At 39.9% G+C, this 17,730-nt stretch overlaps 1 protein-coding gene across 3 annotated transcripts in view, besides 1 other annotated feature; it reads right to left on the reverse strand.

Annotated features, from left to right (window-relative positions):
• The window catches only part of ASXL2 (ASXL transcriptional regulator 2), a 144,735-nt gene continuing 132,032 nt past the window's right edge, over nt 5,028–17,730 (reverse strand). For all 3 annotated transcript variants that reach the window (NM_018263.6, NM_001369346.1, NM_001369347.1), the window contains one exon: nt 5,028–15,751. In NM_018263.6, the coding sequence (NP_060733.4) occupies nt 13,304–15,751 (2,448 nt within the window). In that variant the 3' untranslated portion in view covers nt 5,028–13,303. The remainder of the gene's footprint in view (nt 15,752–17,730) is intronic.
• Nucleotides 14,948–15,448: an enhancer, noted in NCBI's record as "H3K4me1 hESC enhancer chr2:25966542-25967042 (GRCh37/hg19 assembly coordinates)". NCBI's record gives its function as "activates a minimal SCP1, AML or CMV promoter by ChIP-STARR-seq in naive H9 embryonic stem cells {active_cell/tissue: H9 hESC(naive)}" and the evidence as "EXISTENCE:reporter gene assay evidence [ECO:0000049][PMID:30033119]".

Here is a 17,730-nt window from a genome sequence, read left to right on the forward strand (position 1 = left end):
ATGAACTCCCCATTTTGTCATACATACAGAAATGACAGGAAGTGGGGTTGAGACTTAGCACATTTTGGCTGGGTGCGGTAGCTCACGCTTGTAATCCCAGCACTTTGGGAGGCTGAGGTGGGCGGATCACGAAGTCAGAAGATCAAGACCATCCTGGCTAACATGGTGAAACCCTCTCTCTACTGAAAATACAAAAAATTAGCCGGGCGTGGTTGTGGGCGCCTGTATTCCCAGCTACTCGGGAGGCTGAGGCAGGAGAATGGCGTGAAATCGGGAGGCGGAGCTTGCAGTGAGCTGAGATCGTGCCACTGCACTCCAGCCTGGACAACAGAGTGAGACTCCGTCTCAAATAAATAAACAAATAAATAAAAATAAAAGAGATTTAGCAGATTTTAAAAAAATGTTTATTCTAATAAACCATTTTAAAATGGAACTTACAACATATTTTGAACTGAAAAGAAATGAAGCAACAGCATCTGAGAATTGTTGAGATGCTGTGAAAGCAGTACTTGGGGGAAAATTTATAGTACTAAGCACCTATATTAGAAAAGAAGAAAGGCCTCGAATTAATAACATCAGCTTCCAAATTAAACACTGGACAAAGAAGAATTAAACCTAAGGTAAGCAAAATAAATGAAACACAGTGAGTATCAGAGTGAAAATCAGTGGAACAGAAAACAGGAAACCAATACAGAAAACCAATACAGAAAATCAGTGAATCCAAAGCTGGTTTAATATCCTGAAGTCAATCCATGTAATTCATCATAGTAACAGACTGAAAAAGTAAACCATATCGTATCAACAGATGCAGAAAAAGCAGCTGACAAAATCCAACATCCCTTCCTGATTAAAAAACAGTAAAAAACTCAGCACATAATAGAACAAAAACTTCCGCAGCCTGATAAAGGGCATCTAGGAAAAACCTACGGCTAAACATCACACTTAACATGAAATACTAAATGCTTTCTCCATAAGATCAGAACAAGGATGCCCACTCTCTCCACATCTTTTCAACATAGTACTGGAGGTTATAGCCAGAGCAGTAAGGCAGAAGGAGAAAAGTTATCCAGAATAAAACTGTCTTTGGAGATGACACTGTTATCTGTGTAGAAAATCCAATGGAATGTTCAAAGAAGCCAGTAAATCCAATACGTGAGTTTAGCGACGTAGTAGGATACAAAATAAGTACAAGAATATAAATTGATTGTTTATACCAATTAACATTCAGAAAATGAGTGTTAAATTTTAAAATTGAAATTAAAAAAAATTTTATAGCATCATTTAAAATATTAAAATGTAGAGTTAAATCTCACAAAAGATGTGTAAGACCTATTCACTGAAACCTATGACATTGCTTAGAGAAATTAAAGCATATACAAAGATGGATGGATTGAACAATATTGCTCAGATCTCAATTGTCCCCAATTGATGTATTGTGTAAAAATAATCCCAATCGAAATTACATTTTTGTAGCGACTGATAAGCTGCAAAGACTTAACATAGCCTAACCAATTTTGTAAATGAAGAACAAAGTTGGAGGACTAACACTACCTAATTTTAAGATTTATTTATAAAGCTACAGTAATTAAGACAATGTGGTGATGGTTCAAAGATATACAAATATGGACGGTGTGGTGGCTCACATCTGTAATCCCAGCACTTTGGGAGGCCAAGGTGGACGGATCACGGGTTCAGGAATTCAAGAATAGCCTGGCCAACATGGTGAAACCCCGTCTCTACTAAAAATACAAAAATTAGCCAGGCATGGTGGCGCGTGCCTGTAATCCGTTATTTGGGAGGCTGAGGCAGGAGAATTGCTTTAACCGGGACCTGGGAGGTGGAGGTTGCAGTGAGCTGAGATCGCGCCCTGCACTCCAGCCTGGGTTACAGAGGGAGACTCTGTCTCAAAACAACAACAACGATACACAAATGTATCGGTGGACCAGAAGAGTCCAAAAATAGACACACACACATATACAAAACTGATTTTCAACAGAGATGTGGAAGTCATTCAGTGGAAAAATCATAGTCTTTTTAAATGTGATAGAACAATTGGATATTAACATGCAAAGAACTTTGATCTGTCTCTCTTACCATATACAAAAACTCATGAACACTTCGTGAAAGAAGATATATGGATAGCAAATAAGCACGTGAAAAGATGTTCAGCAACATTAGTCACCAAGGAGATACCACCACAGTCCCGTTAAAGTGGCTAAAACACTGACCCCCATGTTGACAAGGAAATGGAAGGACTGGATCTCCCATACCGTTTGTGGGAATGTAAAATAGTACAACTTTGGAAAATAGTTTAGCCGTTTCCTAAAAAGTTAAGCATATACCTACCTATATCCAGCCATTCTACTCTTAGGTATTTCACCAAGAGATATGAAAGCATATTTCCATACGAAATCTTGTGCAAAGCAGCTTTATTTGTAATGATGAACGACTAGAAATAACTCGTGTCCATCAACAGATGAACTGTGGTATATCCATACACCACTACTCAGCAACACAAAGGAATGAACCATTCATACATGTGACAACACAGATGAATGTCAAAGTAATTGATCTGAGTGAAAGAAGCCAGCCCCTCCAACCAATAAAAGAGCACATACTGTAGGATTCCATTTATATAACATTTTAGAAAATGCAAACTTATAGTGACAGAGAGATCAATGGCTGCCTGGGATGGTGTGAGGGAGGGTCAGGAGGAAACAGGACACTTCGGCGGGTGGTGGATATGTTATCATGATTGTGGTGGTGAAACGTGGCAATATTTATCATATTGTACACTTTATGTACAGTTTGTTCAAAATCAAGTACACTTTTTTGAAATGGAGTGTTGCTCTCGTCACCCAAGCTGGAGTGCAATGGCGTGATCTCAGCGCACTGCAACCTCCACCTCCCAGGTTCAAGTGATTCTCCTGCCTCAGCCTCCCAAGTAGCTGGGATCACAGTGCCCACCACCACACCTAGCTAATTTTTTTGTACTTTTAGTAGAGATGAGTTTCACCGTATTGGCCAGGCTGGTCTTGAACTCCTGACCTCAGGTAATCCACCCGCCTCGGCCTCCCAAAGTGCTGAGATTATAGGTGTGAGCCACCGTGCCCAGGCCAAAATCAATTGCACTTTTAACTGTTAAAAATTAAACCACAGAACACTTAGGAAAAGAAAGGGGGTTAGATGTCTTTATAACTTTTGTGTAGGCTAATGGGCTTTTTTACTGGAGACAAGGTCTTGCTGTGTCACCCAGGCTGGAGTACAGTGGGTCAGTGATAGCTCACTGTATCCTTGAATTCCTAGGCTGAAAAGATCTTCCTGCCTTAGCCTCCCAGATAGCTGGGACTATAGGTGTGCACCACTATGCCTGGATGATTTCTTATTTTTGTAGAGATGGGGTCTGTGTTCCCTAGGCTGGTCTTGAACTCCTGGTCTCACACAATCCCACCTTGTGGGTCAGATCCCACATTCTGGGTTCCTGGTTGTACTGGATGTTCTAGTTGGTTCCATTTTCGGCTGCAGCTTCTTAGGTCCAATGACACTTTTCCAAGTCACTGCAAAATGGTCTCTAAGAGCCTTGCTTCCTTCGAAGACAGATGGCTGGTTTTTACATCACTACTAGTTTCTCTAGACTTTTTCTTAACTGCTGGTTATTTCCTTAAACAAACTGCTTTTAATTTAGCCTTTTCAGCTTGTTCAGAGAAGAAAATGTTTTCTCTATCCACTTGGTTTTCTTTAAAAAAAAAAGTGGTAAAATATACATTAAACTTATTAACAATTTTTAAAGCATACAGGTCTGTGGCATTAAGTACATTCACAATGTTGTGCATCCATCACCACTGTCCGTCTCCAGAACTTCTTCATCTTTCCCAATGGAAATTCTGTACTCATTAAACATTAACTCCCCAATCCTTCCTGACTCCCCAGCCCCTGATAACCAGCATTCTAGTGTCTCCAAGAATTTGGCTAGATACCTGATATAAATGGAATCATACAATGTTTGTCCTTTTCTCTATTTCACTTAGCATGTCTTCAAGGCTTATCCATGTTGTAGCATGACAGCATTTTCTTTTTTATAAGGCTAATATTCACATTTTGTTTATCCATTTGTCAATGAACATTTGAGTTGCTTCTACCTTATGACTGTGAACAATGCTAAAAACATTGACATACAAATGTGTTCACGTCCCTGCTTCCACTTCTTTGAGGTGTATACCTAGAAATGGAATTGCTGGATCACATAATTAATTTTTTGAGTATGGTTTAACCACCATACTGTTATCCAAAATGGCTGTATTTAACATTTTCACCAGCAATGCACAAGGCCCTTTGTGCAATTCCAGTCTTTTGCCCATTTTTTGTTTTTGAGTTCTTTATGTATTTTCAATATTATCAGATAAATGACTTGCAAATATATATATCCTCCCATTCTGTGAAATGTCCTTTGAAGCACAATTTAAAAACCGTTTTATTTTTCTTTTGCTGTCCATGCTTTTGGCATAACATTCAAGAAATCATTGTCAAATCCAATTGTGAAACTCTCCGTTTTCTTCTAAGACTTTCATAATTTTCCCCGAGTTAATTTTTGTATATTGTGTAAGGGTCCAACTTCATTCTTTTTCATGTGGATATCACATTTTCCCAACAGCACTTGTTGAAGACTGCCCCTTCCCCATTGACTGAGCTTGGCGCTCATGTTGAAAATCACTTGACCATGTATGTGAGCAGTTATTAATGGGCTATTGTATTCCATTGGTTTATATGTCTGTCTTTATGCCAGGACCACACCTTTGTGATTACTGCAGCTTTGTAGTATGGGTTTCCTTTTCATTTCTGAAAGATACACACTGTCTGGCTCGTGTTGAGTTCTTAAACCCCCTTTGTTTTCTGACAAGATTAGCACTCTCTGTAATACCAACTTTAGTTAGGACCCAGGGACAGCTGTGCACAGAGGACTAGATAACAAGCAGGTAAGCCATTCCACATGGTGTCTGCTTTCTTTGGAAAAGAAAAGGCATAGTCGCTAGGGTAAAACTGTATGCCTTTATTCAACATAGAATGAGTCAGTAAAATATGGTTTGTCTATGTGCAGAAACATACATTCAACTTCGAAGAAGGTTGTTTTTATACGACCAATGAAACAGCCTAAAAGTGACAGGAAAGAAGACAATAGTGAGGAGCTAAAAGGCAGAGTTTATTTGTCAAAGTGCTAAGGCCTATGCGCACAAAGATTTTAAGTGAATAAGAATTACATACGGTAATTTCTTCCATTCCGACTTCTCTTAGTGCTGGTGAAGGGTGCAATGCAGTCACAGAATTAAGACAGGTTTTTTTTTTTTAAAAAAAATAGGTCAAAGCACTTACAGCTAAGTGTTTTTTTTTCTTTCAAATTTCTAGAGTTTCATTTGTTATGTTCTCTAGATCTTTCATGGATTCTAGAAATTTTGTGAATTCTCTGAGAACTTGCTCTTTAATCAGTACTTTATTATTAGAGAATAAATTAAGATGTTTGTCCCAACCTAGAATCTGTCTCCTTATCTAACAAAGGGGTAACCAAATCCAAGACTCTGGAAGCATCTGATTAACTTAAAATGTGTGCAAAGTGATTATATGTAGGTTAAGCTGGGGTCACTACTGAAGAAGTCTCCAAACTACTGAAACTTGCCTGAAAATCTAAAATGAAAAGAACTGCTGACTTCGGGTCAAAGCCCAACTCTATTATAATTTCCAAGCTCTAGGTATCTGAAGACATTAGATTCTGTTTTTTAAAAGAATGTAAAATTTTATGTATGATACTTTCCATAGGAAAGACATAAGCTTTGTGTAAAATAGTTCTAAAGTATCTTCAGATATTTTGGTAACATTTAATGCACTGCTTTCTAATTGGGCTAATTTGAATCCTAAATATTTTGAGAATCCCTGATTAAACTTAATAAAAGTATTGACTCAAGTTGGTCTAATATAGTGTTTAGGAAGCCAAGTTCCATTTCACTTAACAGATGGAGGTGCACAGCCCTAAATCCTGATTAGTGGCAAAAGCCACCACAGTTCAATAGAAAACTATTCCTTATCCCACAGAATGTCTCAAATCAAACTCCAGGTTACATTCATGGCAATTCAACATTACATTAAGTGAATCTAAAATCTTAAAAAGAAATCTCTCAAAAATGGAATAAGCTACTTAATTCAAAGTTTACTTAAATCCATTTAAAACCAAATTCCAGGTTATCTTTCTTCTCCCTAAGGCATCCTCTAGGTTTTACAATTAAGAAGAAAATCAGGATTTTTAAAAATTCCCTTTAGGTTCTTTTGGGTTTGAAGAAGCACGAAAAGCAAGGTTGCAGTTACTTTTCAGGAAAACCCACTATTTAGCCACAGCCCATCTCCAAGTTGATCCTTTCTGGCTCTTTTCCTGGTTTCGCTTTTTCTTCCTGTTACAAGATCTCCTTCCAGGGAATGCCTTTTTAGGTTAAGGCAGAAAGTTACATGGAAGTACAGAGTCTATACAGTCTCTATGAAAAACAAAAGCAAAACTCAATCTATTATTAAATGTTACCAAGTATTAGGAAAACTGAGGACACTCATCCTCCTGGTTCCTGGACAGAGACTACGTTACATAGTGGAATACACCAAATTCTTCTTTAAAAAGCGCTAGAGTCCTGCTGAAGCCCTTTTTAATTCAAGTTGTGACTCAAGAGAAAAAAGGAAAAGCCACTTCTACATTAGAATAGAAAAGGACACAAAAGTAATTTTATCCATTATGGAGAAAAACTGGGATGCAACAATTCCAAATGAAGAGATACAGTTACTTATCATCTATAAGATGAAAATCATGTTTTAAGAAAAATTCCCTTTAGCTTCTTTTAGGTTTGAACAGTGACAGGAAAGCTGCATTATTTACCCAACTGTGTTTGAAAGGGTTAGTTTAACAAAACACTAACTTACTGACCTAAATTAACTACTGACAGAGATTGCTGTTGGCCTGCTTCTAATTTAGATGTTAAGAGATTTCTTGAAATTTCTATAGACAACTTTAGCTATTCCAACAATAGTTCTCAAAAAAGGTGCATTTTATTAATATGGCTCCTCATTTCCACACTTTTTTCATCTAGGGACCTTCTTTCTTCATGTATTTGCCACTACTGTGTCCAGTGTCTCAAACACTTCCATTTCATAACTCATTTAAATTTTCAACCTATCTTGGGAAAAAGGTAGTATTACTCCTTGAGCCTAGAACTAAAAACATGCTGTATAGTCACTACTTTAGGAAAACCTTTCTGCAACTTACATGACTATTTTTGCTTACCTTTGCATAACCAGCACTTTAGTGCTTAGTGCACAGTAGGTGCTCTATAAATACTTGAATTAGTAAATAACATGATTTGTACATAAAAAGTTACCAGACTTCTAAAGACCAGCTGAGGTCAAGTAGTCTCAGAAGCAATGAACACGGGTTTCTGACTCAGTGAAGTAAATAAAGGGTAGCTGGGGATCCAGGTTGAAGCTGCCTTGTCTTCTGGTATGTTGCCTTCTCCCTCAGCTGCAGACCAACTCTACTTGCAGGCACCCATGTCATCACCTGAATATAAATTTATCTTCCCACAAGATAGGAGACCCATCTAAATAATGATAAATATGTACCAGAAATGGGGAGTCAATCTTTGTAAATGGTCATTATGGATTAGTTTATACACATTTAAATATTTTACCTTCATTCTTATTATATATGGAAATTATGAAGATGCTAATGTCCCCTGAGACTTAAGAAGCTTCCTTTAGAAACAGCACATTTTCAGCTAAGATCTAGACTGCTGTTCTCTTGGAAGGCTGAATTATCTCCAACGTCTTGGGACAACCCAGATACTTGACATTCCAGTATCTGAAAAATAAAAACTGTCTTTTAAAAAGCCAATGTAAAGAAAAAAAAAAAAAGCCAATGTATCCTTACATTAACTTCCAAAATATATTTTTTCTTTTCAGTGAAAGTAACCACAGCTGGGCAATTATGGGAACTAGTGAACTACAATAAAAAGTCAGTTTTATGGGTCATCAAGATACACTCTCGAAAATCTGACCTTAACAATTTTTCTTTTAGGTCATCAATGATTCGATATATTATTCATTTGTTAAAAAATGGGCTATATACTTTTCTTTATAAAGACGATGTAGGCACCATTTTGCTCCTATCATATCCTAAAATCAAGTATTTACTTTGCAGCCACAAAATGAGTTCTCGTGGATTAGACAGCAATCTCGGTATGGGAACATAGACAACCTCTCCTACCAACTGGCTCAGACCTCATTTCCATAGCTACCCTTCCTGACCCAGAGGAGTTCAAAATTCAAGTGTCAAATGCTGAAATAGAACCTAATCAAGGCACAGGTGTTTCTCTTCACATTATTTTCCTTGCTCTTTGACCTCTCCAGATTAGACGGGCAGGAAGGACATGACTGGCTATGAAACTCACTTCTGAGAGAACTGGGAAACGGAAAAAAAAAAATTTCTATCATCTTCAAGAAACTATTTCTTCACACTCCCCTAAGGCCTGGAAAGTGGTGGCAGTAAATGTCAACCACTGTGGAGAAAGGAAAACCTATTTTTTCCCCCGAGATATTTCCTTACCATTCTTTGATTTAGGAGCAAACAATGGGCACATTAATAAAGAGGCTGCACCGCATTTCTTCACTTTTCCAGTAATGTTAGGGGGTTAGGAGACAAAACAGATTAAGGGAGAAAACATGGAGACAGACAGATAAGGAAAATTTAATCAGTTTTACTTAAATTCCAAAAGAAATACACTACCCTGATTTATCACCAAGTTCCTCATTTTACTCTCTTCCATACAATCTGTGGGAACCATCCCATAGGAGTATAAGGCAGTAACTGAGGACTCTTACCCACGCCACTCTCAGATGTATGTTAAACCTCAAGATTCACCAAAAAACTCCAAGGTTTTTATTTTCACTTTTAATGATCTTTTACTTAATAATAAAATGAAAAATAAGAATATAGGAATACATACAATCTATATACATATATTTATTGCAAATACTTAAAATTCTTATGTAAAATGATTTTCTATATTTGTGAAAAAATATGACTTTTTAAATGGTGTTGACACCAACTTCTCTGTACATACCCTCAATTCCAATGTTAACAATTCCTTTAAAAAGGCAAAAGACACAAAAGTTTAGCATTTACCAAACCAGTCTGTACAAACCTTACAGCCAGAAGGGAAAAAAATAGCTTGTGGTAAATAAGTCAATTTTCTTTTAAAATAAAAAATAAACCCCAAAACTATTCCCCTTATTGCATTTTTCTGAAATAATCTGAGTGTCTTTAGAGTAACTTCCTTTGAAATAATTTGTGCCTTAACAGTGAGGTCCTACATCAAACATACCATATATGAGAAATTCAAAGTCTTCCACTGTCACTTTTTACAGATATTAAAATATATATTACTTAAAATATATTACTGGAAAGCTATTTTTAAAATTGATCTTCAATAGTTGTATCAAATGTAAAGCATTAAAAAAAATAAAGTAACCAAGAATCTACGAAGCTATTGCTTCAACTTTAGGAAATGTTTTACCTACTGTTCTCTTTCAATAGGTTTGTAGGTATTGAAACATGGTAGGAAAGGCCCCTGCCTATCACCATGTTTCTCAAAGTCTCTTTGGACTATTCTATAAATTGAGCTGAAAACTACCCTTGGCCAAGTTACTTACTTAGCACACAGTTGTAAGGAGATGGGGAGACTTTTCCCTCCTTGCTATGATGTGAAACCTCTAGGTCAAAGAGAAAACACTCTGGCACTGCTCACTGATAGTGAGTTCTAGAAATAAATAGCAGTGTAATGACCAGAGAAGTCTCCCCACTCCTCACCCCCATTATAGCAAATCACTTCACCAGAGAGTTATTTATGGCTCTCTAAGGTGGAGAAAGGCAATAATAAACAACAGAATGTTAACTGTCAGGTCATTAATATGTATGACTTTGCACCTTCACCTGGAAGGCAATGAGGTCTTCCTTTGGCTATTTAAATCTGAGATAAGCTCTAAAACATGTACATCCGTATGCCTTCACAGCCCAATAAGTATGCTCTCTCCACCCCAAGTTTCCCATTTGCCAGCTCTTATTCTTAGAAATGTTACATGAAATACCACAGATAGCTTCAGTATCTTGAGCATAGGGGTTATGGAACAAGTAGGACAAACAACTCCAGGCTATTTGGCTTTACTTTCTGTTTAATAGGATGGAGAATTCTAATTCTCCAAAATTATTTAAGATTCAGGGAGACTTATTTACTAGACAACTTAGAATCTTTATAAACAAGACTGAGACTATATTATTGATGCTATCTCCTGGGGTGACCTGCAGTGGAGGACATCTGAAGGCTAGATAGGGGTGCACGGGAGGCGTATGCATCAGGCATAATGCCTGACTAGTCACTGGAAATAATGCCAGGTCATACCCTAAGAATAAGCTCAGCATTTATTAAAACTTTTCAGATTGGGATGAAAGGTAAAACAACTCAAAAAACTAAGGTAAAGATTGCTTTAAAGGTGCTGCTGGAATACCATACTAATAAAGGTTTTGTTTCTACTGCTTCATTTTCTAAAAGGCCAGATTGTAATGTGTTTTTTTTTTTTTTAATTTTTCTGTTCAGCTTTTAAGATGAATGGCTTTCCACTTGAAACCTCTGTGTTGAAACCAACTGATAAATAGACTGGTATTCAAGTTACTACCCAACTGAGAGAACTTAACTGTTCTCTTGTCTGGTCAAGATTGAGGCAGTGTATCTAGTTGGCAATATCTGTTTTAGGAGTATTCCTAAATGCAAATATTTAGCTGAGTATTATTTGTTAAGATAATCTAGTGAACAGCAATGTTTAGGACCTATCTATAAGAGCCTGGGTCAAGATGAAGAGGCACAATATGGTTTGCTCTCTAAACGGACTTAAAAATCCCTGATACCTTTCCTCCTTTCCTAGTTATAGTCTGTTCATCCCTAAGTTAAGGGTAGCACAGAGGAAAACCTTTCTGACAGGAAAAAGGTAAAGCAGAAAAATCACTTTCATCAATCCAAACTGGTAACTGACATTTAGCATGGAATCAATTCCAAAACTCTCAACCTCTTCCAGCATGCAGACCAGCCCTCGGCCCTGGCACTAAGGTGGAGTTAAGGGGTAGGGCAGGGAGAGTTCTATGCAGCAACAGGTCTCTTTAAACCCTTCCTGGATTGCCCAAGGTACTGAATATTTGGGAGCACCATTATTTCTGTTTTCTACTGGTTCTTGGCTTGAAAATATACTCCTTATCCCCAATCCTTGCAGCCTTCTTATCTCTTAGCTGTGTGTGCTGGAAGAAAGGAGAAAGATGGACAGACATATCGTTCTGGCTGAAGCTGGAACACAGATATTAATCCTATATTGGCCTTGGGCCACAAAAAAGCCAGAAGTGAAAAGTGAAAAACAGTGAAGTGAGTTTCTTACGGAGAGGAGCGGAGCAGGGGCTGTGGGAAAGCATCGAAGAGTGTGTGATGTGGGGGTGGGGTGGGCAGTGGTGGGTAGTAGAATGGGGGCAAAACAGAGATGATTATTGCCCATTTTCTCCTAATCTGGAATGTGACTTAACAAGTTTAAACTGTTCTGCATTTTGTAAATATCACATCCTGAATATGAAGGACAAATACAACTGTACTATGTTGCATTAACATTTGTACTTTACCCATTCCAAATTAGGAGACTTGAAATCAATATGCAAATGATGCAAATTGACACTCCCCCATTTAATACAAAATTCTGTTAAACTGCAGGTTTATTTTAATGTTCCTTAACCATGACCTAAATATTATGTACTCACAATTTCTTCAGTCACTAGAGAAGGATTTAAAAACAAAAAAGGAAACAAGAAAGAAAAAGAAACAAAAACAAGCAACCAAAAAACCTTTAGGGCTCATTTTCCTTCCTTTCCAGATGTTCCCTTAGCCATTCAGAGGCCTCTTTCCATTAGAAATTTCTAGTGCTCAGACAGCAGTAATCCAAACAAGGGCTATATTTTCTAAAACAGGAAAAATGTCTTGTATTGTGTGTGTGTGTGTACATACACGTATGTGTAAAGTAAGATATAATAAGATGATGTCATCCTGTTCAGATGCCTGGGAGGTCAAAACAGGTTGAACAGAATGAACAAATGTGGCATTGGTGAGCTTTTCTACCTGCAACAGCAGCTGACTATCTAGCACTAGGTTAACAGGTTGGGAGAGAAGAGGAAAAGAGAAGCGACCTTGTTCTAGTGTCAAAACTGTTTTCCAAAGTTATTTACGTTCAATTTAACAGTTTCTGTGGTTTCACTCCCCTTGCTCAACAAGATGTAGCTCAAATCACCCAATCACTAACACTTTCCTGTTCATTTTATATGAGTATTTCAAAATTGTTAGTTACCACGAATGACTAAGTGCGGGGATAGGGTATTTTTGCTGGAATTGTTGCACTGCACAGCCTGTAACAACACAGGGGGTCCCAGAGAGGCACTCCCTTCACGGACTACATTCACTGTCTCAGGGCAGGGGGTGGGATTAGGGAACAGCAGGGATCCACAAATTCCAAGCAGATTGCTTGGCAACAGTACCAGTAACTAGTAACTAGTACAGTAGAAGCCAAGAACCAAGTCAGGGCTTTCAGAGTCTGAAACACTACCTGTGAAATGAATTCCTTACCAAAAATTTCAATTTAAGAAGATTCCACCTAAGGTAAAGGGACTGAGTAAAACCCTGAATCCAAGTCCTGCAAAGGCTGAATAATCTATGAATAACCTGCGGCCAGACTGTCCAGACAAAATCAGTGTGAATGGTCATTTCTTTAGACCATTCCTTCACTTTCCTTTTCCTAGCTTCCTAGGAAATGTCAGAAGGGAGACAGCTTCCTTTTACCATGCCGGCATTAAACTTTTCTCAGTCACAAGTAGTAGAACATTAATCTGAATTCAAAGTAATACATTATTACCTAAACACTTGGAAAAATAATGTTAAACAAAATGTGACATATTTACATGATTTTGTAAGTGCAAACTTGTCACAAATTCACAAAGTCTTGCTTGACTTAGACTTACTATACAAGGTGCTCTTCCTCTAAAATGTAAAAAATCTGTACTTTGTATTCCTGATTAAGTAACATTTGTCTCTGAAGACAACTGAAACCTACTTGTTTATTTCTGTGATTCCAAAAGGACGCAAAAAACCCAACTGGTCAACCCTTCCCTTCCCCCTCCTTTACAGTGTATCTCTTTCTAGTCTCATTACCGAACGACAAGGCAGGAGACGCACAGTTTGGAGGGGCCGATGCAATCATCATGGCAGAAAGCGCCACAGCCTTTGCACATGATCATGGCTTTCAAGCGGCAGTAACATTTCGAAGGCGTGCCCTCTATGCTGTTCTCTTCGGAGAACGCCTGAACAGGAATGGTCTGGCCATGGCTGCTGGGATTCATAGCTTGGCTAGCAGGGATGGTAGTGACAGTCACTGAAAATGACATGACATCACCTACATTGCTAGATACCTGGCTACCTGGTACAGCAGAGTTATGGTCCATGTCAGATGAGGTGGAGACATTGATCATGCCTCTATAGCTTGGCCCTATCTGGGTGGGGCTTCCATACAACTTCGGGGTTTGCAGGGGTGGAAGGAGTAGGGGCTGGTGGGTGGGGCTGTCTGCAGGCAGAGGAAGAACAGTAGAACTGAAAAGCTCGGGGCTGCTACGGATTGCCTTACCTCTCACTGCATGAGCCATCTGCTTCTGTGCTGCCTGAATTAAATCTCTGGCTAGGGTCTTTTCATCAAATGTTTGGCCTCTAGTGAACAGGTAATTCTCCTTACTTAAAGTGGTTTGCTCATTCAATGGTATCTCAGCCTTCACATTCTTGCTAGCTAAGCAATCACTGGTAGATAGAGTTTCCCTGCTGTGAGGTCCTGAACTTGTGTCACCCTTGCCAGCACTCTGGGAAACCTGGGGCTCCTCTTTCACTGTGACAGATTCCTGCTCATCACCAGTACTTTCCTCATCAGTGTCATCTTCTTTGCTGCTGCTACTCTCTCCTGTTGCATTTTTACAGTCTGTATATCCCATTTTCAAGGCTTCAGTGGGGCTGCTTAGACAAAAACGATCTTCAGGGTTTACAGAATGGGTCCTCCTAAAGCTCTCTGAGCCCCGGCCGTAGGTAGAAATATTCAGTAAGTAGTGCCCTGCCATTGCAGGTTTGGATGTCCTTCTGCCAGCAAAACCCAGCATGAACCTCTGGCTTGTGGAGATGTCTTCCAGCTGGAAACCTGAGTGAGCGAAGTTGAACTGTGAGGGCGGCACAACTGAGAGAAGATTCTGCCTCCGAACCCTCTGAATGAGAGTCTGAAGGATCTGATCTTGGGTTGCTTTACTTAGTCCTTCGTGGTATTGGTGTGTGTCAATGCTGGAGTCCCTCAGCTCCTTAGCTGAAAAGAGCTGAAGGGGCCTTGGAACCTGGGGGAGCTGCTTACTTTGCAAGGTTTTGCCCAGCTGCTGCTGCGTAGCTGGATGGGACTGTCTCTCATTAACTTCCTCTCTGGTGCTATTTTCTGTTGTGTTGGTAGCTATGAGCGCTCCCATCCCCCTTTCCTCTTTTGCAGTCAGTGGAACCGTTTTCATTTCAACTTTGGTGAGAGGTTTAGGCAGAATTTGCTCCATGGGAACATCTTTGCCTTGAAGCAGCTGAGTCACTAAAGGATTATTAGCAGGGATACTAGAGGTTGGTCTTAAAGTGGGTCCATTCATGTTTAAAGAAGTTCCTGGGGTTTTAAGGCTAGAAGCTGCTGGCAAAGTGCTCGAGGGTGGAGCTGATCCAGCAGGTGCTGTAGTTGCACTGACCTGGGGTACAGGAAGCTTTTCTAAAGTGGCTGTGGTCAATAAAGATGTTAAAGGGGAGGGAGTTACAGCCACTGGCACACTAGCATCTGTCTTTGATGAGGCTGAAGGGTTAGGTATATTCTTACTAGGACCTGCTTTGAGCTCAACTGTGCCATCAGCTGCACAATGAACAGGTGAGGCACCTGAGATTAGAGCAGGACCTGTTGGAGAAGGTGCTTTCTCCTGTCTGCAACTACTGGGCCCTTGTGGATGGCTGACAGAGGCCACTGTGGCTGTTGCTCTGGTGGGGTTCAGTTTTTCATTATCCAATTTCTCTATGTGGGCTGGTGATGGGACACTTGTGCATGCTCCACTGACGGCAGGTGTTGGAGGCACTGGGGGGGTTTGCTGTAGTTGTGCTCCAGAGACACTATGAGGCTGTGCCTGGCTTGGGGTGGTCTTGGTCTCAGACTGGGGCTGAGTCTCTGGACCACAGGGTAAAAGCTCTCTCGTACCTCCCCTGCTTCCAGTTCCTGCCAGTTCCAGTGTGGGGCCCTTTCCAGTTTCACTGACTCTGTCTGAGCCTGGACTGCCTCCTCTAGCAGTCTGCCCTTCACCACCCTCTCCTGGACCTTGTCCACCCCCTGGGCCAGGTCCTGGAATGGTCCCTCCAACTGAGGCGGCTGCAGCAGCTGCGGCGGCAGCGGCAGCTGCTGCCCTCTGTGCTTTGACCAGTTGGGCTTTTGCTTTGATGTCTGCAAGAGTTCTGGCTCCTGTTCTGTTAGGACTAGTGATGGAGACTGGAAAACGAGCCCTGGGAGAGACCTGCGATGGATGAAACGGCATGGGGGAGATTCTGGAGACCGGGATCTGAAAGAAGTAGAGGGGAAAAAAACAACAGAGCTTAGTTTTCATTTGTAAGAATAACAAAACTTCATTAGCCCTCACATTTTAAAAACAGATGAACACTACAGTACCTGTGACAAACATGGGTGGTCTATGGCCGAGAGGCCAAACCTTGGAGACAGCAATACTAGTTTGTCTCTAGGGTCCTTGCATCCACTTTTTCTATTGGTGCCAAAGACGACTGCTTCCACTCTCACCCCAAATCCCCACACCTCTTTTCCTATCTCAACTCCCTCCTAATGCCACTATTACAAGTGCTTATTATGATACAAAGTTTTCTATGGTATTTGCATTTTTAAAAAGTGTATTTATGTTTGAGAAAGAAGAGAAAAGCAAGCAAGCCAGCCACCCATACCACTACTGTCTTTTAGTTCTTAGCTTTACTACCAAGGTCCAGGGGAAAATACTTGCTCTTCTCTGTTCCACACACACACACACACACACACACACACACACACACACACACACTTGGGCTGGATTATCTCAAATTACACAGGCTTCTAGACAGCACTGGAAGGAAGACAATGTGTGATCTATAGGAGCCCCCACCATGCCCATACACATAAAGGAGTATGTACATAATGTTTGCCAGCCATTCTCATCTCTGGCTGGTATTATATTTACTTGCGCAATTTTAAAATATATATGCTCTGGGTCCTATCCCAAAAAATTACAAATCAGAACCCCCAAGACCCTAGGAAGTCTTTTTTTTTTTTTTTAGATAGGGTCTTGCTCTGTCTCCCAGGCTGGAGTGTAGTGGTGTGATCTCGGCTCACTGCAACCTCAGTCTCCTGGGTTCAAGTGATTCTTGTGCGTCTGCCACCCGAGTAGCTGGGATTACAGGTGTGGGTCACCACGTCTGGCTAACTTTTGTATTTTTAGTAGAGATGGGGTTTCACCATGTTGGCTAGGCTAGTCTTGAACTCCTGACCTCTTGTGATATACCTGCCTCGGCCTCCCAAAGTGCTGGGATTACAGGCATGAGCCACAGCACCCAGCCTGAAAAAGCCTGGCCAACACAGTGACTCCAGAGGGAGCCTCCAGCTCAAAAAAAAAAAAAAAAAAAGTTTCTAAAAAGCTACTTGTGAGATTCTGATGTCTATCAGGTTTGAAACCATTGATTTCCTTCTTTTTTTTTTTTTTTTTTTTTTGAGACAGTCTCACTCTGTCACCCAGGCTGGAGTGCAGTGGCAGAATCTCAGCTCACTGTAACCTCTGCCTCCTGGGTTCAAGTGATTCTTGTGGCTCAGCCTCCCGAGTAGCTGGGATTACAGGTGCCTGCCACCACACCCAGCTAATTTTTTTGTATTTTTAGTAAAGATGGGGTTTCACCATGTTGGCCAGGATGGTCTCGAACTCCTGACTTCAAGTGATCCACCCACCTCGGCCTCCCAAAGTGCTGGGATTACAGGCGTGAGCCACCACGCCTGGCTGAAACCAATGATTTTCATACCATAAAATCATCATGTCTGAAACAAATCTGCCTTCTGTCCTGAACAATACTTTGAAAGCTATTAGAGTTACTAATAATTCAACAAGATGTGGACTCTTCTAGTAACTGGTTGAGTTTAAAGGAGCAAATAACTGTTAAGATGTTCTAAAGCATTTAATTAAAAAAAAATTAACCCACTAAACCCTAAGAAAATGCATGCCATTTTTCTTAATGTTTTTAAATTAAGAATAATAAAGTCACTAAACATTTTTCATTATTTGCAATACTCATTTCTCAAAAGGTCAGTAGTCCTCAAAAACTGATTCTCTAATTCCGAAGTTAGAGCCATGGGACTTCATAACAGGTGTCACAGAGTATATATTTTACATCAGGAAACCTATTTAATCTCTCTAAGAGCTAAATCTATTTCACATCCAATTCGAACAAGCCTAGATAGTATATTTACTCATCACATAGCATTTTAGAGGCTGCCTACAGTAAGAAAGAAGCA

This window comes from Homo sapiens, chromosome 2 (assembly GCF_000001405.40).
Source record: "Homo sapiens chromosome 2, GRCh38.p14 Primary Assembly".
Taxonomy (NCBI): Eukaryota; Metazoa; Chordata; class Mammalia; order Primates; family Hominidae; genus Homo; species Homo sapiens.